This window comes from Homo sapiens, chromosome 16 (assembly GCF_000001405.40).
Source record: "Homo sapiens chromosome 16, GRCh38.p14 Primary Assembly".
NCBI lineage: Eukaryota > Metazoa > Chordata > Mammalia > Primates > Hominidae > Homo > Homo sapiens.
The window spans coordinates 19,113,704-19,136,609 of NC_000016.10; the positions used below are offsets into that span (position 1 = coordinate 19,113,704).

Consider the following 22,906-nt stretch of genomic DNA (forward strand, 5'->3'; position numbering starts at 1 on the left):
AGCTTGTGCGGTGGGGGTGGGGAGGACTGGACAGTCTGGCTGTGCGCCCTTTTCTCCTTTTCAACGTCCCAGTATAACTTCAAGGGAGCGCAACTCCAGAGGCTCCCTGGACGAAGCTACCGCCCCGGAATCAGGGCCTTCCCAATTCTGCCTTCGGGGAGGGAGGATGGGGGTGGGCCGCGGGAGGCCAGTTCCAAGAGCGTCCTGAAGTCCCTCCCGCCGCCCCGCGTCGCTTTAAGGCGGAGGCCCGGGAGGGGGCCGACCCGGCTCGCCAGCTCCACGCTCGGCTCCAGACTCCGGCATTTCCTCCCCGCTAGCTGGCGCGGCCTCGCCTCCCCCTCGGAAGAGGAAACTCCCGGGGTCCGAGTAACAGGGTCAGGCGCGGAGAGGAGCGGCGGGAGAGCCAGGAGGGCCGCCCAGGGTAGGAGGCGAGCCAGGCCGGGCCAGAAGCTGGCCGACGGCGGCGCGCGGGGGCGCCGGGCGGGGAGGGCCGCTGGGCCGGACTCAGCGCGCAGCCGGGGCAGGGCGCGGCCCGGGGCCCGAGAGCGCAGGGCGGGCCGCAGCTGGAAGGAACACTTGAGCTGGGAGAGGAGGCCGAGCTGGAGGGCGGCCTCCCTCGGGCCTGCGTTCGGGAAGCCGCCGCGGAGGAGGAGACGGGGACAGCGGGGCTGCCCGGGCGCTGTGCGCATGCTGGGCTTGGGTCGCCGCCGGGGCTTGCCCCCTGGGCTGCTCGGCCACCGCCGCCCCGGGCGCCCGGCATGTCGGTGCACTACACCCTCAATCTACGCGTCTTCTGGCCCCTGGTGACCGGCCTGTGCACCGCCCTGGTGTGCCTCTACCATGTCCTGCGGGGAAGCGGGGGCGCCCGGGCCGAGCCCGCCGACGGCGTGGATGGCGGCTTCCCGTTGCTTAAGGTGGCCGTCCTGCTCCTCCTCAGCTATGTCCTCCTGCGCTGTCGCCACGCTGTCCGGCAGCGCTTCCTGCCCGGGTCTCCCCGTCTGGAGGGTCACGCCGCCTTCTCCTCGAGACACTTCCGAGAGCCGGGCCTCAGCATCCTGCTGGAGAGTTACTACGAGCATGAGGTGCGCCTGTCTCCGCACGTGTTGGGCCACAGCAAGGCGCACGTGAGCCGGATCGTGGGCGAGCTGGTGCGGGCTGGCCGCGCCCGGGGGTCCCCCGGTCTCATTCCTGGGGGAGCGCTGGCCTTGGCCTTCCGCGGAGACTTCATCCAGGTGGGCAGCGCCTACGAGCAACATAAAATCCGCCGGCCCGACAGCTTCGACGTGCTGGTGCCACTGCGCCTCCCGCCGCTTGTGGCGCTGGAGCCACGGAGCCTGGGCGAGGAGCCAGCGCTGGCCCCGGCCTTCCGCGGCTGCTTCTTGTGCGCCCTCAAGGCACCACCCTCACCATCGGGGGCCTCGGGGGGCCACTGGCTTCGGGACTGCAAACCCTTTGCTGATGCCTTCTGCGTGGATGTGCGCGGGCGGCGTCACCTCTCTGCTACTCTGGTGCTGCGCTGGTTCCAGTCGCATCTGCAGCGCTCCTTGGCCACTGTGCGTTACAGCCTGGAGGGGCGCTGTCGGGTCACCTTGACCCCAGGTGGCCTGGAACAGCCCCCCACCTTACACATCTTGCCCTGCCGCACTGACTACGGCTGCTGCCGCCTTTCTATGGCTGTGCGTCTCATCCCCGCTGTCCATCTGGGAGATGGGGTCTTCCTTGTGGCGCCACCACCGCCACCCTTGCCCAGCGCGCCCCTGTTGGAGCTCCCTGAGGGCCTGCGTGCGGAGGCACTGTGGGGTGTGAACACAGCACGCCAGGAGCAGAAGCTGCTGAGTTGGCTGCAGGAACGGGCAGCTCCAGGTGCCTGCTACCTCAAGTGCCTGCAGTTGCTTAAGGCTCTGCGCGATCTGGGGGCCCGTGGGCTGGACTCAGCGGCCGCCACCCAGTGGGGACGCATCCTATCCTCATATGTGCTCAAGACAGTGCTGCTGGCAGTGCTGCTGCGCAAGGGGGCCCCTGGGCAAGGCTGGGACGAGGAGCACCTGGGAAGGTGTTTGGAGGAGTTGGTGCAGTTCCTTAGGGACTGCCTGCTGCGACGCCATACGCTCTTCCACTGCGTCCTGGGCCCTGGTGGGGCGGCTGCCGAGGTGGGTCCCCTGCCCAAGGCACTGAGGGAAGCCGCCCCAGTTGACCTCCTGGCCGCTTTCGACGGGCACGCCCGGGAACTTGCAGCAGCGCGGTTGCTGTCCACGTGGCAAAGGCTGCCCCAGCTTCTCCGGGCCTACGGGGGTCCCCGCTACCTTGCCAGGTGCCCCCCACCCCGGAGTCAGCGCACCCAGGGCTTCCTTGAAGGTGAACCGTAAACCCTGACAGCACCCCCACCTGACCAAATGCTCCTAAAGCCTTTCCCACTGGGTGGGGGTGGGAATGGCGGTGAAGCCAGTTAAATGCAAGATTGCAGAAGGCATTGGAAAATTTGGTGGCTGCCACAAGCTTTAGTGGCTTAAATATCACCTTCTCGCTTCACAGTCCAGTATAATATGACATCTTCACACCCACTAGAGTGTCCTGGGCAAACCATGGGAAGACATCCAACAGGAGACCCAAGAATTGGTTCAAATATTGTTCTGTGTAGACGGATTCTGTAGAAGGATGTGGCTTTTAGAGAAGTCCAGTAGAAGAAGCAAGAACTAGCTGCAGGGAAAGTTCCTTCTGTCGGTTTTTAGACACAGATCTCTCTGCCCAAATTAAAAAAAAACAAAACAAAACACTAAAGTTTTTGACACAATTACTTGCTAGGTACTGGGTTCCTGATTGTCTTTAAAAAGAAAAATCTGAATCTTTATTTGCAACTGGAATTGAAGTTCTATTTTAGGGGCTAATGTTTAGAGGAACATAATTTCCACTGTTCAAATTAATATTAATGTATTTTTAAAATGGTGCAATCACAGGTGTTTGACAAGATTGTCAACAAGTTAAGTCACATAGATGGAAAGGCAATCGAGAGTTGGTTAGAGAAGCTTCCAGAGAAAATAGCACTTTATATTGATCAATTCACTCATTTTGTGGTAATTGCTAGCACCAAGCATTGCATCTGAAAGGGAAGCCAGTTATATTTATTATTAAATGTACAACCTTGAAAAGCAGCCAGCATGCTTGCCTAACTAACATCGCCGCAGGCCACAAGCTGGGATATGTACCTGTCCGTCAACATCCATTCATTAAACTACCTACTACCAGCCAGAGATGTCTGGAACCAAAGTAGCAACCAAATACATATTCAAGACAACACTGGTGAAGGCATAAAACATGTTGGCTTTGGAGAAAGATGTGTTTTAGGCTTTGCCTGTAAAGGTGTTTCTCCAAGGCTGGCTGCTGGCTGGAGACAGAAAACTTTTTTGTTTTAAGGTTTTTAGCAAACTCCTTCACAAAGAGATTTCTTTCTGAGCTTAATGAGCTAATGAAGAGGAAATGCCTGCTGCTTAGCATGTGGTTTGTGCTGGGTCTCTAACCATTGATGGTTCTTCCTTGTCCAGGCAGTCTTACGTGGTCCAAGAGACCTGTTGATTCAGCACAGGTCTTGCAAAACATTTCACTTATAGTTCAGTATCTTGGGCTCTGTGCTTGAAGATCAGTTACTCCCTGGTCGTGGGCAGAGGAGACAAATTAGGAAAAGAGCAAGGGAGACAGCCCTTGACGGCAGTCTGTCTCTTTTCTCTTTAGGTGTCAGTATCACCAGGTTGGGTGTATTTTGCAGCTGGGAGGAGCCGGTCCTGGAATTCTTCCTTGTTCTCCCAAATTTATAACAGTCCTCAATTGCAGTTTAAGTTCAGCATGGCCCCTCATCTGCTTGCCTGATTGGAAATGCAGCCAGTCCAAGTGTTACAAATTGGGATTTTTTTGTTTTCTAAATAAAAACATGTACTTCCTCAGACTCTTAAAGCTAAAATTTGGAAGACAGAAATGCCTATGTGAATAGAATCATTGTTGAAGTTCTGAGCTCTTTTGAGGGAACTCTATAAGCCTTCTTTCTTTAGGGGATCCACTTGCCTGCTGTGGGAAATCATAGTGAGTGATTTACAGGAATCCTTCTCCTCCAAGCTGCATTGGCTTCTTATATCCTTTGCGACCTTGGGCTGAAAGAGAAACAGCTGCAAATGTTGTGCTGTCTCTTTGAGGTTGTCTTGGGGACAGTTCCCCGCAAAGGTCATTCCTAGCTTTTGAGGTCAATGTTGGGTCATAAGGTACTGCATTGTGCAAAGAAGTCAGTCTGCTAACTTTATGCAAAGATAGAAACTGCACGGTATTTTTTAAAATTAGTTTTTAAAATAAATGCCAAGAGTAGATCTTATATATATATATATGTATACATATTTTATATATATATATATTTCCATACTCAACCACAACTTCCTCTGTACTCATTGTTTACTACAGTGGGGGACATCAAGGGTTGGAAGGATTATAAAGCTTTAAGGCTGGGCGTGGTGGCTCACGCCTGTAATCCCAGCACTTTGGGAGGCGAGGTGGGCGGATCACCTGAGGTCAGGAGTTCAAGACCAGCCTAGCCAACATAGTGAAACTCTGTCTCTACTAAAAAATACAAAAATTAGCTGGGCGTGGTGGCGGGCGCCTGTAATCCCAGATACTCGGGAGGCTAAGGCAGGAGAATCACTTGAACCCGGGAGGTGAAGGTTGCAGAGAGCCAAGATCACACCACTGCACTCCAGCCTGGGTGACCGAGCGAGACTCCGTCTCAAAAAAAAAAAAAAAAAGCTTTAAAAAGCTGAATTTTAGAAATATTTCTAGCAGTGTCAGTGAGTTCCTCTTTTAATAGTGTTTTAAAGTATAAATCTGGTAACATACTGTTCTTGTAGTTTTTTGTTAGTTTTGTTTTTCAGGTTAATTACCCAAAGCCTCATCCATCCTCAAGGTTTTTAAATTTTATTTTTTTAAAATAAATTGTGCATTGTATTTGTGAATTTTTAAAATATTACTGTTTTATTTAAATGCCATGCTGAGCAATTGTTCTCTGTACATGGTAACCAAAACTTAGAGATTTCGATCAATTTTGATCAATGTTTAGTAAACCAAAACATGTACTGTGTACAACGGAAATAATATGGCATATTAGCCAGGCATGATGGTTGCCCAAGACAGTTAAATTAAGCTCAATTCTGTATTTTATTAGGGCTCTGTTATGTCCTTCATCTGAAATGTACACATTTTTGGTGTATGCTTGGTACTGGAGATTCATATATGCAAATATTCTCATGCAAGAAGTTCCACAGTAACAACAGCAAAAAGAAAAAATTAGTTGTCCAGCCAGTGCTGGAGGAAAATGTTTCTGGGGAAGATGACTCAGTCATTTTGTGGCGAGACACCCTTTGGTAACTCCCACTGACCAGTCTTGGGAGCCTTCCTGGAATGATCGTGGGCTGAGCGGAGATGTTTTTTGCAAAATGAAACTGAAGCTGAAAGAAAGGAGAATTCGAGTGAACCAAGAGAAATCCAAAGACCTGGGGAAGGAGGACTTAAGATGAAAGTGAAGCAAGAGAGGGAAGGGGAAATGAAGTGAAAATGGCGTGAGGGTGTGAGAGAGGTTTGGGTTAGGAAACATGTTTTTAGTGCTATTTCCAACCAGGGGTCGCAAACTCAGCAGCCTGTAGAAACAGGGGTGGGAGGTGGGGGGGAAGCTGTGCCCACCTTTAAAGAGGGGGCCATTGCTCAGCCATGCAGAAAAAAATGGGGCAACAAGCTGGAAATCAGGTTTTTTTTTTTTAAAGTGAAACTTGATGATTTTTAAACAAGTAATTAAAAAAATGTCCAAAACACCATGTGGGCCAAACATTTGTTTGAGCCTGGGGGCCACCAGTTTGCGACCACTGCCTTACGTAGTTAACACCCTGAGTATGTATACAGTCATATTTTTTGTTTTGGATATGGTAGTGTTATATATACTTGGGGGCGTGATATTTGAAGTCATCTTTATCTCTCAGAGTTAAGCTTTATTGTAGAAGAAAAAAAAAAAAGTTAACACAGCCATAGATAACACTTAACTCACAGTTCCCAGGAGGACACTTGATCTCGAAGCTGCTCTTTTTGAGTCAGATCCTACATCAAACCACTTAGGGCCAGTTTTTGGCATTTCCTTCCTGGTGATTTGGGGTAAACTTCTTTGCTCTGTCGGAGTTTGCAGATGAGTAATCAGAAGGATTGCAGAATAACTTGTTTCTTTGTATTTTATTCTTACATTTAAATTAATTTTGGGGGGTTAGTGGTATCCTAGCTCGTGCCTTTACAGGGATGATTGGTGGCTAGATTTGGGGTGCAAGCTTCTTAGGCTCATACCATTTCAACTACCAAGAACACAGGTTTTTGTTTTTGTTTTTTGAGACAGGGTCTCAGTCTGTTGCCCAGGCTGGAGTGCAGTGGCAAGATTGCAGCTCATTGCAGCCTTGACCTCCTGGGCTCAAGCGATCCTCCTGCCTCGGCCTCCCAACTAGCTGGGACCACAGGTATGTGCCACTACACCCAGCGAATTTTTAAATTATTTGTAGAGTCAGGGTCTCCCTATGTTGCCCAGGCTGGTCTTGAACTACTGGACTCAAGCCATCCTCCCACCTCGGCCTCCCAAAGTGTTGGGATTATAGGCGCGAGCCACCACACCTGGCCTAAAAGCGTCGTTCTGATCAGACTTCACCCCTGAATGTTTCTATCATTTTCTTTTCTTTTTTTTTTTTTTTCGAGACAGAGTTTTGCTCTTGTTTTACAGGCTGGGGTGCGGTGGGATGATCTTGGCTCACTGCAATCTCCTCCTCCCAGGTTCAAGTGATTCTTGGGCCTTAGCCTCCCGAGTAGCTGGGATTACAGGCACCTGCCACCACGCCTGGCTAATATATATATATATATATATATATTTTTTTTTTTTTTTTTTAGTAGAGATGGGGTTTCATCATGTTGGCCAGGCTGGTCTCGAACTCCTGACCTCAGGTGATCTACCTGCCTCGGCCTCCCAAAGTGCAGGGATTACAGGTGTGAGTGAGCCACCGCGGCCGGCCTCTATCATTTTCTGACTCAGCAGCTCCACCAAAATTGACATCCTAGCAAACACTGTGAAGGAATTAACCTAAGTGCTTCCAGAGCATCTCATGTAACCTCTATGGAGTAAGTCACTTTTTCTGTAACATGTGGCTTTTGACCTTGATGAAGACTTTGACTTCTCATCCCTGTCTACATGGAGGAAGATGATTCAGTGGTGGGGAAAATGAACCTCGGTAACATTTCCAATGTCCTTCAAGAGGGAAACAAGTTCAGTGTTATCATCGTGGCATTCGTTAGTTTTTTTTTTTTTAAATCACTTGTTTAGATACAACTTTATTTTTTTATACCTACATAGCACATGACTGGGGGGATAAAGCATGTATAAGTTGGGAGAGGGTAAAGAATGTGTGACTATGTATACAGAAAATAGACTAAAATGTGCAGCAAAATGATATATACTGTAATCTGGTTTTTGAAGTATCTACTATTCTGGAATATTGTTAAACAACTTTTTGCTTTTGAAAAAAAAAGGTGCCTTGATTCAGTTGCGTGACTTAGAACATTCATCCTATTTTATTGTGATTTTTAATGTCTTCTGACCCCAAACTGTGTTTTTGGTTGCAGTCTGGCGGCTGCAGGCATAGCGTCGGTTTTGTTCCAATAACAGAGACCAAAGAGTTAATCAGATATGGTTCAGCTGCTACAATTGTATGATTCAAAGGCAATTTAATCACCCCAAATTTCCATGGCCCCCACAGTCAAGACCTGCCATTCGTTTTCTCTTGCAGGTTGGAGTAAATTTGCACTTTGAATCATGTGGGTCATTTGGGGACCTTGTTCTTTTCTATTTTGCTTTATTAATAAAGGAACTTGTAGAAACCTCTGGACTGAATGTCAGATCTGGGGAGGGCTTTCGTCTTCCCGGAGGGCAGCCTGTGCCTGTGCTGGCTTGTAGTTCCTTGCACAAGCCTCAACTGCTTTGAGCATCTGGGTGTATGGGAAACTTTTCCCATGCATTAAGGCTGGGGATCATTCTTGTGTAGAATTAGCTCTGTATACAGGTGGGAAAAAAATGCTAGTTCACAATGCTACAGGTGTGCTCCCTGGAATCCTGAATCTTCAAGTCTTCCTGGCCTAGAACCTTCTGCCCCCACCTCTCCTCTCTGCCTGACTCTCCCACCCCTGCTCCCCCACACATACCCAAACACAATTTACGTCTTGGCCTGTGGCTCAAGAATTTTGTCCAGAAATCTCTTAGGCCCTCAGGCCCTTGCGAAATGGTAAACATTTGCTAATACGAAAAACCACCAGGCTTAGCAGGAGATAGAATCTTGGAGACTAAGGGTTGTTCAGAGCCCCAGAGCCAGGTAGAAGCCCAGGGAAACCTGCAGCCATGATGAAACAGTAGTTGTGGTCAGGCACGGTGGCTCACACCTGTAATCCCAGCACTTTGGGAGGCTGAGGCGGGCAGATCACGAGGTCAAGAGATCGAGACCATCCTGACCAACATGGTGAAACCCCCGTCTCTACTAAAAATACAAAAATTAGCTGAACGTGGTGGCATGTGCCTGTAGTCCCAGCTACTTGGGAGGCTGAGGCAGAAGAATCACTTGAACCCGGGAGGCAGAGGTTGCAGTGAGCCGAGATTGCACCACTGCACTCCAGCCTGGCGACAGAGTGAGACTCCATCTCAAAAAAAAAAAAAAAAAAAAAAGAAAAGAAACAGTAGTTGTGTAGGGCACTTGCCCAGGGGAATGTTGGTGGGGTGTGTTTCGCTTGGTTTTCAACAAATAATACTGTCCGACGGCATTGAGGACACACACACAGAAGTGGCCAAGACAGACATGTCTTCTCTCTTATGAGCTCACAGAGACAGGCAGACAGGCAATGAAAGAACCCATTACCGTACAGCGTGGTAGGTGCTGGGTAGGAGAAAGTTTTTCAAAACCAAACAAGGGTACCTCGTGCACTTTAGGGTTTTCAGGAAAGCTCCTTGGAAGAAGTGACATCTAAGTTGAGATCCAAAGATAGGTGGGAATTAGCCAGGTGAAGGGAGTTGGGCTGGAGAAGAATATATTGAACGCAGAGATGAAAGAACATTCCAGTTTGGCTGGAAAGTAGGGGCAGGTGGAGAGGAGGGGAGGAGGATTCAATGGAAAGGATGAGGTGGGAGGGAGTTTGAAGCCAGAGCTTCTCAGGCTGGAGTGTGCAGATCACCTGGGAGCCTTGTTAGAACGCAAGTTCTAGCTGGGCGCAGTAGCTCACATCTGTAATCCCAGCACTTTTGGAGGCCTCAGCGGGGGGATCACTTGAAGTCAGGAGTTTGAGACCAGCCTGGCCAACATGACAAAACCCCATCTCTACTAAAAATACAAAAATTAGCCAGGGGTGGTGCGCATGCCTATAGTCCCAGCTACTTTGGATGCTGAGGCCCGAGAATTGCTTGAGCTCGGGAGGCGGAGGTTGCACTGAGCTAAGATTGTACCACTGCACTCCAGCCTGGGCAACAGAGTGGCACTCTGTCTCAAAAAAGCAAAAACAAACAAAACAAACAAACCAAAAAAAACCCCCCAAAAAAACCCAAGTTCTGATTCAACAGGTCTTGCCTTCTTTTTTATTTATCTATTTTTCTGAGACAGGGCCTTGTTCTGTTGCCTAGGCTGGAGTGGAATGGCAGGATCATAGCTCACTGCAACCTCAACCTCCCAGGCTCAAGAGATCCTCCTGCCTCAGCCTCCTGACTAGCTGGGACTACAGGAATGCACAGCTAACTTAAAAAATTTTTTGTAGAGATGGAGTCTTGTTCTCTTGCCCAGGCTGGTCTCACACTCCTGGCCTCAAGCCATCCTCCTGCCTTGGCCTCCCAAAGCACTAGGAATACAGACGTAAGCCACCATGACTGGCAGGTCCTGAGATTTGGCCTCTTTAACAAGCTGCCAGGGAATGGTGATGCCACTGGTACAGAGTCCACACACACACACACACACGCACACACGCAGCTGCAGACCACACAGAGAGTTTGAACTGATCAGAGGGCACTGTTGAATCACTTTAGACAAGGAGTGGCAAGGTCACATTTGAATTTGGCTCACTCTGGCTAGTGTGGAGAGTGGATTATACAGGGGTTGGCAAACTACCACCTGAGTATTTATTTTTGTAAATAGTGTCATTGGTACACAGCCACGTCCATTAACATACTGTTTATGGCTGCTTTCGTGCTACCTGGGCAGAGCTGAATAACTGTGACAGAGGCCAAATGGCTCACAAAGCTGAAGATATTTACTTTATGGCCCTTTGTAGAAAAAGTTAGCCAAGCTCTGGAGCAAGACTATAAGGAATTGGATGCTGCAGTGGTCCAGGCCTGGGCAGGGGGCCAGAGGTAGGGACAGAGAGACAAGTTAGAGACAGACAGTGGCGTGCATTAATGCAAAGACTTGTCGGCAGGGCGTGGTGGCTCATGCCTGTAATCCTAGCACTTTGGGAGGCCAAAGCAGGCAGATCACTTGAGGTCAGGAGTTCGAGACCAGCCTGGGCAATACGGTGAAACTCCGTTTCTACCAAAAATACAAAAAGAAAAGAAAAGAAAAGAAAAAAAAAACAGGTGTGGTGATACATGCCTATAGTCCCAGCTACTCGGGAGGCTGAAGCAGGAGGATCACTTGAACCCAGGAGGCAGAGGTTACAGTGAGCTGGGATCACACCACCGCACTCCAGCCTGGGCAACAAAGTGAGACTCTATCTCAACAACAAAAGCAAAAAAGACTTGTCTTCAAATCTTGTGTTCTGCACTTCTTATCTACGTGTCTCTACAAGTTACCTAATCCTCTTTGTATCTTGATTCCCTCATCTGTAAAATGGGATTAATAATGGAACCTTGCCCATAGGAGTGATTGAGGATTAAGTGAGATTTTTGCATGCAAAGTGCTTGGCACAGATTAAGCGCCCAGTACGCGTCAGTGTAGAAGCAATTATTAGAATGGCCTGAAAATGCCATTCTAATAATCCCAGCACTTCGGGACGCTGAGGTGGGAGGATCACTTGAACGCAGGAGTTCGAGGCCAGCCTGCACCACATAGCGAGACCCCCATCTCTACAAATAATTAAAACTAGAGTGGCATTTTCACATAATCTGTGTCTCTAACCTCTTCCTCTGCTCACTTTGCTCAAGCTCATTCTTTCTCCTCTGCAGGGTCTGTTTCCCTGTCGTCCACCCCCGATCATCTCTCTGCTACCCAGTTTTTGTTCATCTCCTTCCTTGATGTCCAGGGCATTTTCCACTATGAAAAGGTTTTATTCGGGATACTATGGTAGACTGGTTACAACAATAGTCTCTGATCTCCAGTTTTCTTACACCTATGCCCTTTGCAAAGTGATTTTGCAATCTTTTCCATCAAGAAGGGTTGCCCTTTTGCCTACCCCTTACATCTGGAAGGGCTTTGTGAGTTTGTTTATTTATTTATTTATTTATTTATTTATTTATTGGAGATGGAGTCTCGCTCTGTCGCCCAGTCTGGAGTGTAGTGGCACTATCTCGGCTCACTGCAACCTCTTCCAGGTTCAAGCGATTCTCCTGCCTCAGCCTCCTGAGTAGCTGGGATTACAGGCGCCTACCATAACGCCTGGCTAATTTTTGTATTTTTAGTAGAGACAGGGTTTTGCCATGTTGGCCAGGCTGGTCTCCGACTCCTGACCTCAGGTGATCCGTCCACCTTGGCCTCAAAAAGTGCTGGGATTACAGGCGTGAACCACCGCGCCCAGCTGTAAGTTTCTTTGATCAATCGAATGTGGCAGAGGGACATGGTGCTAGTTCCTGGCCTAGGCCTCAAGAGGTCTTGTCTATTTCTTATTGTTCTCTTAGAAGGCCACTGCTACCATGTGAACGGCTCACCTGCTGGGGGATGAGCGATCACATGGCTCCTTCAACCCTGTCCCCAGAGCCGCCAGCCAGCCGACTGGGAGATATGGGAATGAGGACATCCTAGACCAGCCTCCTCACCTCCTCCCCAGTGCCCGAATAGACCTGACCACTGACTGATGGAAACACTCAAGTGAACTAGCCAAGATCAGCAGGTCCTGGCCCAGATCAGCAGAACCACCCGGCTGGCCCATAGACTCTGAGCAATAATAGACAGATACTTCGTGTTTTAAGCCACTGAGTTAGAGGTGGTTTATTGTTCAGCAACAACTAACTGATATGGATGCCTAGGAAAATCTGGCATAAAAAGGCTGCCACTGCAGTAAATAGAAGCAGTTCATTTTTCTGTTTGTTTGTTTGCTTGTTTAGAGATGGGGTCTTGCCCTGTTGCCCAGGCTGGAGTACAGTGTCACCATTATAGCTCACTGCAGATTCAAACTCATGGGCTCAAAAGATCCTCCCACCTTAGCTTCCCAAGTAGCTAGGACTACAGGCATGCACCACCATGCATTGCTAACTTTTTCAATTTGTATTTTTTTTTGGTCAAGACAGGATTTTGCTTGCAAGAAAACAAGCTCAGGGCTCCCACTGATTCTACATTATGACAAGTTGTATAATTATTTCATTATGTATTACAATAATAAAAAGAAAAATAAAGTGCACAATAAATGTCATGTACTTGAATCATCCAAACACCATCCTCCCCCCACACCCAGCCCATGAAAAAATTGTCTTCCATGAAACTGGTTCCTGGTGCCAAAAAGTTGGGGACTGCTGGATTAGGGACTCAGTAGACTTCCTCTGACATCTCATTGGCCAGAATAATGTCACATGACCATTCTTAGCTGCAAGGGAAGCTGGGAAAGAGAGCCTGGCACATGGCATACAGCAGCCCTGAGCAGTAGATGAAGAAAGAATGAGTATAGTGGGTAAATAAGAGTCTGTCAGAGGCCAGGCATGGCAGCTCACACCTGTAATCCCAGCACTTTGGGAGGCTGAGGCAGGTGGATCACCTGAGGTCAGGACTTTGAGACCAGCCTGACCAACCTGGCAAAACCCCATCTCTACTAAAAATACAAAAATTAGCCAGGCATGGTAGCGTGCACCTGTAGTCCCAGCTACTCAGGAGGCTGAGATGGGAGAATTGCTTGAACCCAGGAGGCAGAGGTTGCAGTGAACCGAGATAAGCACCATTGCACTCTAGCCTGTGTGACAGAGTGAGACTCCATCTCGAAGAAAAAAAAAAGTCTGCCAGAGAAATACCACAAACACACAGCTGAAGACTCTGTCAAAGAAGTGAGAAGTAATTAGAGAATTTACCATTCTGTAATTATTCAGTTAATACTTGCGTACTTGCGTTAAGTTTTAGGATTTAGTAAATGCCCCATAAGTGTTAGGATTGACATCTCAGCTCCACCTGTCACTGGGTGTATTCTTCTGGGCAAATCAATTAACCTGTCTGGACATCAATCCCTTCATTTGCAAAATGAAGGAGATAATCTCTCCTCTTATAGGTTCCTTGGAAGAGTCAAAAAGTAAAATGGAGAAACTGAGAAGTGTTATCTAAATGTCGACTGTGTTCTTTTAGGAATGCACCAGCATTTCTGGAACCACAGGAAGGTGAGTCCATTTCTTAAGGAATCACTCTTAGGCACTCTGCCAGATGTCTCCCTGCCACCAAACTTCCTTTCCCACAGGACTGTGAATGGGTCTGCGGTTGTGACTTTTTGTTGTAGTTGCGTCCCCAGAAGAGAGATACAGTGAGAGCATCAACCACATGCTTATCTCATTCTTACTTCTAAAGTGTGTCATCTTTCTCCCCAGTCTGATTTTCATTGCTTGAGTTCCTGGGCAGAAAGCTTAGGCTAGTTGTTCTCAATCCTGGCTTCATAACAATGGGTAAGGGGCTTTGTAAAAATACTCATGCTTGGGACCCCACCTAAGACCAGAGAGATCAGAACTTAGGAGGATGCAGCTAAGGCATGGGAGCTGTTTACATCTCCCTGGACAATTTTAGAGTGCAGCTGGGGTTGTGAACCAGTGACCTAGGTCAGATGGCCCTTCTGGAACCTGCAGTGCTCAGTAGAGTACCTGCAATCTCTCCACTAGATGTTGTGGAAGCACCAGCTGGTTTGCATGAGGTTTGCTACGTGGCTGAGACAGAAAGGTTAAGGGTGGTGATGGTGGTGCTGGGGGACCAAATCCTAGGAGAGAGCTCTTCAGCTGAGAGACACAAGGCAAAATATAATTGCTAAGTGGGCAATGGGGCTTCATCCATTTGGCAGTTCCCCTTTTCCCCAACCCCAAGGAGAAGGAAACAGTTAAACCAAAAAAAGAGGCATCAGAGTCATCCTGAAACTTCTCAGTAATGAAACGCCTCAATATTCAGAGGGAGAGTGCCCTGTTCTTTCTTGCTCTGTCGCCCAGGCTGGAGTGCAGTGGGGCAGTCATAGCTCACTGCAGCCTGAAATCCTGGGCTGAAGCAATCCTCCTGCCTCAGGTTCCTGAGTAATTGGGACTCCAGGTGCTGCCACAACGCCTGGCTTTTTATTTTATTTTATTTTTATTTTTAAAGATGGGGGTCTTACTCGGTTGCCCATAATGTTCTCAAATTCCTGGCCTCAAGGGATACTCCATCTCGGCCTCCCAAAGTACTAGGATTACAGGTGTGAGCCACCATGCCTGGCTGCCCCACTTCTTTTAATCTTGTAGCCTGCAGATAACATATGTCAGATACAGCCTGTCTTCACAAAATGCTGGCTCTTTTCATGAATATTCAATGGTTTTGCCTACATTATCTCAATCTCTCTCCCCAACTCATCTTTAGGTGTAGTGGCTGGCACTTAAAAAAAATAAAGTCTATCAAGACACCTTCTAATGAAGCCAGGGAAAAAAAAGACCCCTAGGAGTCCCACTGCGTGCCAGACTCAGGCTAAATGCTTTTAAGGACCAAATCTCTCAAATGATTTTTATCTTCATGGTTTATTCAATCATTAGTCTCCTCAAATTAGCAGCTATGCCTCTGATGGGCAACTGTCGATCCTTATCAAAATGAAAGCATTAAAACATATTTCAACCTTGGAGACAAATGGTTGTGGCATTTGAAGAAGAGAAGCCTTCAGGATCTTGCATGGCAGAAAACTGCAGGCTAGAAACCCTGCTCCAGATTTTAAGCAATGGACTTGTGATGATTCTTTTTTCTCTGATAAATACCTGGTTTTCAAAAGCAGTCTAATTAGTATGGATCTCCACTTTGCAAGGCTTAAAAGTGTATTTGGGCTTCCTCTCACTAAACCAGTCTCGTGGGACCACCCAGAGTCTAAGCTCTCCCCTTCCAGATGCTGAATATGCATGAGTAACCCTCTATCTCCCAGTCCCCTGCAGTTAGGCAGGGCCAAGTGACTGGTTCACCAATGGGCAAGGAGCAAAAGTGATGTGTGCACGATCCTACAGAGGCAATAAAAGCCATGTGTTAAAGAGGCGGGTGGGTCACCTGAGGTCAAGAGTTCGGGACTAGCCTGGCCAACGTAGTGAAACCCCATCTCTACTAAAAATACAAAAAATTAGCCAGGCGTGGTGGTGGGTGACTGTAATTCCAGTTACTCGGGAGGCTGAGGCAGGAGAATTGGTTGAACCCAGGAGGCAGAGGTTGCAGTGAGCTGAGATTGCGCCACTGCACTCCAGCCTGGGCAAAAAGAGCAAATCTCAAAAAACAAAAACAAAAAACAGACAAACAAACAAACAAAACCATGAAACTGATGATCCGCAGCTTCCAAATAAGATCTTAGGAGTTGGATGAATGGGCTCAAGCATGAGCTTTAAGAGGCAAAATGGCGGAGTTTAACTGGTATATGACCTTGTAGAGACATTAGGCTGGTAAGGGAAGAACACCTCATATAACTCCAGTAAGCACACTGCACATTCCACTGCCACCCCCACAAATGTTAGCAGGCCACTGCACATACGGATAGCCCACTCCAAGGGAAGGATCAGGGGAGAAGGGATGCGAGACCCTGGAAGTAGGCCAACATATAAAACCCTCTGTCAAAGGTCAAATGGGACACTTGAGAGGTTAAGTATCACCTCCTAGGACTATTGCCACGATCTCTGTCTTGTAGGGTTTCATGCACTTGGCCCTGCTCCAAGGGTACTCGCCTTCCTTTAATTCCTGCTCTAAAGCTTTTTAAGAAACTTTCACTCCTGCTCTGAAACTCGCCTGTCTCTCCTTCTGCCTTCTGCCCCTCAGCTGAATTCTTTCTCTTGAGGAGGCAGGAATTGAGGTTGTGGCAGACCCGTATGGATTTGCCAGGGTAACACCAGGATGCTGAAGAGAGTGCCTATCATAACCCCATTTTGGAAGACCCCATTGGGACCCTACTGAATAATGATTGAATGCTAACTATGTGCCAGGCCCTGTGCTGGCACAGGGGATAATAGAGTGGTTAGCAGAGCAAACACCATCTTATTGGCCTGCAGTTTACAGTCTGCTGGAAGAGGCAGCCACTTGCCAATAAGCACGCCAGTGAGCACTAAATAACTAACAGAGGGCCAGGCATAGTGGCTCATGCCTGTAATCCTACTTCTTTGGAGGCCAAGGTGGGTGGATCACTTGAGCCCAAGAGTTCAAGACCAGCCTGGACAACATGGCAAAACCCCATTCTATAAGGAACATAAAAATTAGCCGGGCATGGTGGCACACACCTGTAGTTGCAACTACTTGGGAGGCTGAGGGGGGAGAATTGCCCGACCCGGGGAGGTCGAGGCTGCAGTGAGCCGTGATCGTGCACTTCAGCCTGAGTGACAGAGTGGTGAGACCCTGTCTCAAAAAACAAACAAACAAAAAACGAAACTAACAGAGGTAAATGCTTTGAAGGAAAGAAACCAGTTTTTATGACACTGTGAGTCAAAGGGACCTAGTGCAGCATGGGGGAATTAGGGAAGGCTTCTCTGAAATCTTGAAGCTCAGCACACTAGCCCATGGGGGTCTGTTTCAGGGTGTCACCTTCGGGAGCACTTACAGAGTGAAGCTCTGTGACAAATGCTGGACACACACAGTTCTCCTTTGATCATTGCAATAGTCCTAGGAGGTAATACTATTATAATAGGAGCCCCAATGTACAGAGGTGGAAACTGAGGCTCAGAGGGACGAGATCATATGCCCCCAGGGCATTTAACAAGGAAGTGCAAACAGGGATTTGAACCCTCATCTGCTGACTCCAAAATTAACGCTCACTGCATTTCCTTGGCCCTTGCAAAGCCAGCCAAGGAAGTTAGTCATACAGGAAGTAGCCCCTCAGAAGTCCCACAGCAGGAGATCAAAATGAAACAAGCAAGCAGATGTTTACAAGCTGCCTGGAAAAGCCACCCACCACAAGAGCAGGGAATCATTCTCCCTCTACCCCAACCCCTCCTTCAAAGCTCCTAAAAAGCTTCCTTTTTCATTTTTACAGAGTCCCCTCTCCACCCCCTTTTCCCCCAGAGGACTGACTTCATCCTTTCAGCAGATGGGAAGGCGTGGGCTGCCGGCCCTACAGTAGCACAATCACCAATGATGACTTCCCTCCAATCTTAACCCAGATGAAAATGACAGAGACACACCAGCTCTTTCTTCTCTTGGCTTTTCCCGAAGCTTCCCTTTCCATTAGGCCACTGGGGGTTGGCGCCCGAAGCTTCCCTTTCTCACCAGAATAGAAGCAGGAAGTCTTGGGGTAGCTGCGTTGAAATGTTGGCTGGTACGAGCATGTTGTTTTGTTTTTATAGAAGGACTAAACAGATCCCCCACACAGACACAATACACATTCAGAGGCATGATTCCCATATAGATACACATGTGCACACATGCACGCATAGATATACATGCTTGTGAGTCACACACATTCACTCATAGCTAACACTTGTATAGCACTTACTGTGTTCCAGACAGTATCCTAGGTCAGGGCAAACTGTGGACCATGGACCAAATCCTGCCTGCAGCCTCTTCGTGTAAATAAATTTTATTGGAACACAGCGGCTCTGTGTTTAGAGAGAGTCAGGCCAAGGAACAAGTGACCCAGATAGGTCAGAAAGTGACTCTGGGAATCTAGAAGGGTGTGAGCCAGGCCTGGATTGGTTTTGCAAGAATGAAAATGGCTTTCTTGTTTGTTTGTTTGTTTATCATAGAAGTGATATATGCTCACTGTAAAAAGTTCAAGTATACAGAAATGTCTAGGAAAGAAGTAAAGATCTTTGGACACCCCTAGAAACTCAGGCCAAAGCTTCCCCACTTAGCAATCAGGAGTGGGAGAGAGGGGTTGCCCATCCACCCCTGCCTATCCCTTCAGGACAAAAACATCAATTCCCATGACCTCATCTGCCTGCCTTGAGACAGTGGGTGTTGGGGACAATGGCAGGATGTGGACTTCCAATGTAGCAATCTGACATCAGCCTTAGCCTGGAGCTGGGTAGTGCCCATGATCAAAGCCCCTGGAAGGGACCAGTTCAGCTTGTATCAGAGCCATCCTTGGGGTGACTAATAATAATGATTTTGATTGAACATTCACTACTACCAGACACCACTCAAAAGATGAAATTAACTCATTGAATCCTTGTGACCATCCTAGGAGTTAGGTACCCTAATGCTCTTCTTACAGAAGATGAAGCAGGCTCAGAGAGGTAAAGTAATTTCCCCAAGGTCACACAGCCAGGAAACAGCAGAGCCAGAACTGATGTCCCAGTGATCTTGTGCCAGAGCCATGTGCTCTTCCTCACAAGGCTGATGTGATGTTTGGAGGCTGGAGGCTGGAGTATTTAGAATCCTCAGTATACAATTGAGGAAATGAGGTTCTGAAAGGTTGAGTGACTTGCCTAAGGTCATACAGCCAACAAGCAGGAGCTCCAGGAAAGAAGTTCAGGGTCATGTGACTTCAGAGCTGGTTCTTAGTGCTGGGTTTCCCCAACTCCAGCCCTTGGGGAGTATCTTTGCCACCTCACGGTACCTCCTGCAAGACAATTTGTTTACTCTTTCTTCTTTTTTTATTTTTTGAGATGGAGTCTCACTTTGCCGCCCAGGCTGGAGTGCAATGGCGTGATCTCAGCTCACTGCAACCTCCGCCTCCCAGGTTCAAGCAATTCTCCTGCCCCAGCCTCCCAAGTAGCTGGGATTACAGGCCCCCCCACCACGCCTGGCTAAGTTTTGTATTTTTAGTAGAGACGGGGTTTTGTCACGTAGGCCAGGCTGGTCTTAAACTCCTGACCTCAGGTGATCCACCCGCCTTGGCCTCCTAAAATGCTGGGATTACATGCGTGAGTCACTGCGCCCGGGCTGTTTACTCCTTAACACTGCTGCCATGGACTTATGTGTCCCTCATAAATGCATGTGCTGAAACCTAATCGCCAATGTGAGGATACAAGGCGCTCTTGAAAGGTGATTAGGTCATGGGGGAAGAGTTCTCATGAAGGGATTAGTGGCCTTCTGTAAGAGGCATCAGAGAGCTCCCTCACCCCTTCTGCCACGTGAGGACACAGCGAGAAGGCACCATCTGTGAAACAGGAAGTGGGCCCTCCGCAGACAACAAATCTACCGGCACATTGATCTTGGACCTCCCGGCCTTTAGAACTGTGAGGAATACATTTCTGTTTTGTTGTTGTTGTTTTTTTTTTTTTGATGGAGTCTCGCTCTGTTGCCCAGGTTGGAGTGCAATGGCAAGATCTTGGCTCACTGCGACCTCTGTCTCGCGGGTTCAAGCCATTCTCCTGCCTCAGCCTCCTGAGTAGCTGGGATTACAGACGTGTGCCATCATGCCTGGCTAATTTTTGTATTTTTAGTAGAGATGGGGTTTCACCATGTTGGCCAGGCTGGTCTTGAACTCCTGACCTCAGGTGATCCACCCCCCTCGGCCTGCCAAAGTGCTGGGATTACAGGTGTGAGCCACTGCGCCTGGCTGAGAAATATTCTGTGTTTATAAGCCACCCAGTTTAGGGTATCTTGTTATAGCAGCTCACATGGACTAAGATAGTTGCTTGTTGTTGTTTTTTTTTTCTCTAGCCTTATTCCAAACTCTATCTGTGAAATTATTGGTTTAATGTGCTAGTTATACATATTTTTCTACTACATTAAATACCTACTAAGCTAAAACATGTATGTCATGTGTTCCATGAATGGTACATGTGCTCAGCTATAAAAAAACACACTAGTTTCTTGGACCAGACATAAATCCCACCCTTAAGGAAGTTTTGGGTGAATTGGGGAGATGGACAGTGTTATGGGCTTAATTGTGTCCCCTCCCTGCCATTCGTATATTGAAGTCCTAAGCCCCAGCACCTTAGAATGTAATCATATTTGGAAGTAAGGGTTTTCAATAGGTGATTAAGTTAAAATGCAGCACCATCATAGCTTGCCGCAGTCTCAAACTGCTGGGCTCAAGCAATCCTCCTACCTCAGCCTCAAAAGTGGTTGGGACCACAGGCACACAGCACCATACTCAGCTAATTTTTAAAAATTTTTTGTAGAGATAGTGTCTCACTATGTTGCCCAGGCTGGTCTTGAACAACTAGCCTCAAATGATCTCCCATCTTTGGCCTCCCAAAGGGCTGGGATTACAGGTGTGAGCCACAGTGCCCAGACTCCAACTTTTTATTATTTATTTTTATTTTTTTGAGATGGAGTCTTGTTCTGTTGCCCGGACTGGAGTACAGTGGTGCGATCTCAGCTCACTGCAACCTCCGCCTCCTGGGTTCAAGCAATTCTCTTGCCTCAGCCTCTTGAGTAGCTGGGATTGCAGGTGCCCACCACCATGCCCAGCTAATTTTTATATTTTTAGTGGAGACAGAGTTTCACCATGTTGGCCAAGCTGGTCTCGAACTCCTGACCTCAAATGATCCACCTGCCTCGGCCTCCCAAAGTGCTGGGATTACAGATGTGAGCCACCACGCCCAGTCTCCAACTTCTTTTTGGTGTGTGAAAGAAACTTTTATCTTACTTAGCCCTGTTATTTTGTTATAAGGAGAGGGACCTAATCCTAATTCTAACTGATTTCAGCTGCTTATAAAACTGGGAAAATATCACATTCAAATCCAATTTTCTGTCTTTACTTGAAAAATAAGATCGGTCACACTGTGCCCATGTTCCCATGTGGCAGTGGCGAGGCAGGGGCTCAGGAGGGGCTGTCTGCTCCATCTCCAGTTCACATAGTCCTCATGAATCACAATCTATATGTGATATCCACCTGACTTGCTGGTTTATCTTGTCTGCCTGCCCCTGTAGGCATTTGAGTTTGTGACCCCTGACTCATTTTCTCTGAGCCTCAATTTCCTCACTGACAAAATAGGGCTAATTTTAGAGTCTCCTTGTTAGGCATTTTTTTCTTTTTTTGAGACAGAGTGTCACTCTGTCACCCAGGCTGGAGTGCAGTGGCACAGTCTCGGCTCACTGCAACCCCCACCTCCCAGGCTCAAGTGATCCTCCTACCTCAGCCTCCCGAGTAGCTGGGATTACAGGCACGCACGACCACACCTGGCTAATTTTTGTATTTTTAGTAGAGACGGGGTTTCACCACGTTGGCCAGGCTGGTCTCAAACTCCTGACCTCAAGTGATCTGCCTGCCTGGGCCTCCCAAAGTGCTGGGATTACAGGCATAGACCACCACGCTCGGCCTCCTTGTTAGGCTTTTGCGAAGATGAGATGAGTTGCTAGATGCAAAGTGATATTTACAAGTCTCAGGAGTGAGGGCCACTGCTATCATTGTTACTGTTATTATCATTATCACCATCATTACCAGTATGGAAAGGAATTTGCCTTTTTTGGTGGTTGATCCAAAATCAGAAGGAGAGAAAGCAGGGGAACAGCTCAGATGCTAGCAAGAGTTTCTAGAGTGTGTTCATGCCTGCGGATGACTTTTCTTTTCCGCCCAGGGACAGAGTTTCCGATGTTCATTTATTTAATCCCTCTTGGAAAGTGTTAGCAGCTCGTTGCATCTGTAAAGGATGGAGGTGCCTTTGATCACTTCAATCAACTCACAGCTTCTCCCTTCCCAAAGGCAAGAGGCACCCTTGGCTTCCTCCTGCAAGGGCTCTGGGTACAAGCCTGAGCTTGCTGCCACCGTTAGTCTCCCACTGTGCTGGGGCTGAGGGAGGGGGCTGCCGGGCCCACGGTGGAGTTTGGGGGGATTTCAGGTTAACCCACAGTATATGGGAGGGTGGGTTTCTTTTCCTTTGTGCCGTCATTTTTCCAAGGCGGCAATCAAAGGAGAGCAACCTGTGGTATAATTCAAGGCTGGCAAAGAGACAGACAAAGATGATGGCAGAGGTGCCTCCCCTGCAGCCTGTGGATCCATACTGCACTCACGTCCTCACTCTGAAGGTGGCCTCCTATGAACACCTGCAGCTCAGGCCCGGGAGTTCTTATCTGTTTGTGACAGGACATTCCACCCACATGTAGGACAAGGCAGACATTGCTGGAGTGTTTGAGCCGCAGGGAGCAGCGCTCAACCAACCATGGATGGGACTGGTGGATAATCGCCCAGCTCCCTTCCCTTTCCATGGGACAGCTCTGGGATGCATGCTTTGCCCTGGCCCCAGCAGAGCTGAACCTCAGTTGCCACCTGCCCCCCAGCCCCCTCCGTAGGAACATGCCTGGGGACACACCCTTCCTTGGCTGCCTTCCCGTTCCCATCCCTGTCTCTCACTGTCCCCTCCCTCCTGGTGTTTCCTGAATCACTGTGCAAATAAACTACTCACACCCCAGCTCCTGTTTCAGGGTCCACTTCTTGAGGGGTGTAAGCTAATCAGTCTGTGCAGTTTGGTTCTGGAGGTCACTGAAAAGACTCACTCCTCCCTCTTTCTACCCTGAAGACGGAAAGCTCCCTTTCCCCATCCAGATGTGAACTCTGACTGCAGTGAAGTGAGACCTTGGGTGGGGGGCAGGAGAGGGACCCAAGGGTTGACAAGAGTAAGGAATGGTAGAAGAAA

At 48.4% G+C, this 22,906-nt stretch overlaps 1 protein-coding gene and 1 long non-coding RNA gene across 3 annotated transcripts, besides 5 other annotated features; both read left to right on the top strand.

Annotated features, from left to right (window-relative positions):
- ITPRIPL2 (ITPRIP like 2) lies at positions 261-7,926 on the top strand. 2 transcript variants are annotated; one of them, NR_028028.2, is made up of 2 exons: positions 261-421; positions 938-7,926. NR_028028.2 is itself a non-coding variant. In NM_001034841.4 (1 exon), the coding sequence occupies exon 1, from the start codon at positions 759-761 to the stop codon at positions 2,364-2,366; it is 1,608 nt and encodes a 535-aa protein (NP_001030013.1). In that variant the 5' UTR covers positions 261-758; the 3' UTR covers positions 2,367-7,926. The 2 variants fall into 2 exon arrangements, 1 of the variants encoding a protein (NP_001030013.1); NM_001034841.4 differs by having other exon boundaries at positions 261-7,926.
- Positions 263-362: a silencer, noted in NCBI's record as "silent region_7241". NCBI's record gives its function as "represses an Ori minimal core promoter by ATAC-STARR-seq in GM12878 lymphoblastoid cells {active_cell/tissue: GM12878}" and the evidence as "EXISTENCE:reporter gene assay evidence [ECO:0000049][PMID:35858748]".
- Positions 453-822: a silencer, noted in NCBI's record as "silent region_7242". NCBI's record gives its function as "represses an Ori minimal core promoter by ATAC-STARR-seq in GM12878 lymphoblastoid cells {active_cell/tissue: GM12878}" and the evidence as "EXISTENCE:reporter gene assay evidence [ECO:0000049][PMID:35858748]".
- Positions 7,927-13,142: 5,216 nt separating the features above from the next.
- LOC124903657 (uncharacterized) lies at positions 13,143-22,681 on the top strand. The gene is made up of 2 exons (XR_007065011.1): positions 13,143-13,582; positions 21,851-22,681. It is a non-coding gene; the product is annotated as an uncharacterized LOC124903657 (long non-coding RNA).
- Positions 17,162-17,241: an enhancer, noted in NCBI's record as "active region_10528". NCBI's record gives its function as "activates an Ori minimal core promoter by ATAC-STARR-seq in GM12878 lymphoblastoid cells {active_cell/tissue: GM12878}" and the evidence as "EXISTENCE:reporter gene assay evidence [ECO:0000049][PMID:35858748]".
- Positions 17,162-17,458: a biological region, named in NCBI's record as "Sharpr-MPRA regulatory region 12181".
- Positions 17,164-17,458: an enhancer, noted in NCBI's record as "tiled region #12181; HepG2 Activating non-DNase unmatched - State 4:PromP, and K562 Activating DNase matched - State 5:Enh". NCBI's record gives its function as "activates a minimal TATA promoter and a strong SV40 promoter by Sharpr-MPRA in HepG2 and K562 cells {active_cell/tissue: HepG2 | K562}" and the evidence as "EXISTENCE:reporter gene assay evidence [ECO:0000049][PMID:27701403]".
- Positions 22,682-22,906: the final 225 nt, after the last annotated feature.

Bases quoted from the DNA above. Each gene is read 5' to 3' on its own strand.
- ITPRIPL2 (NM_001034841.4), top strand. From the start codon at position 759: ATGTCGGTGCACTACACCCTCAATCTACGCGTCTTCTGGCCCCTGGTG.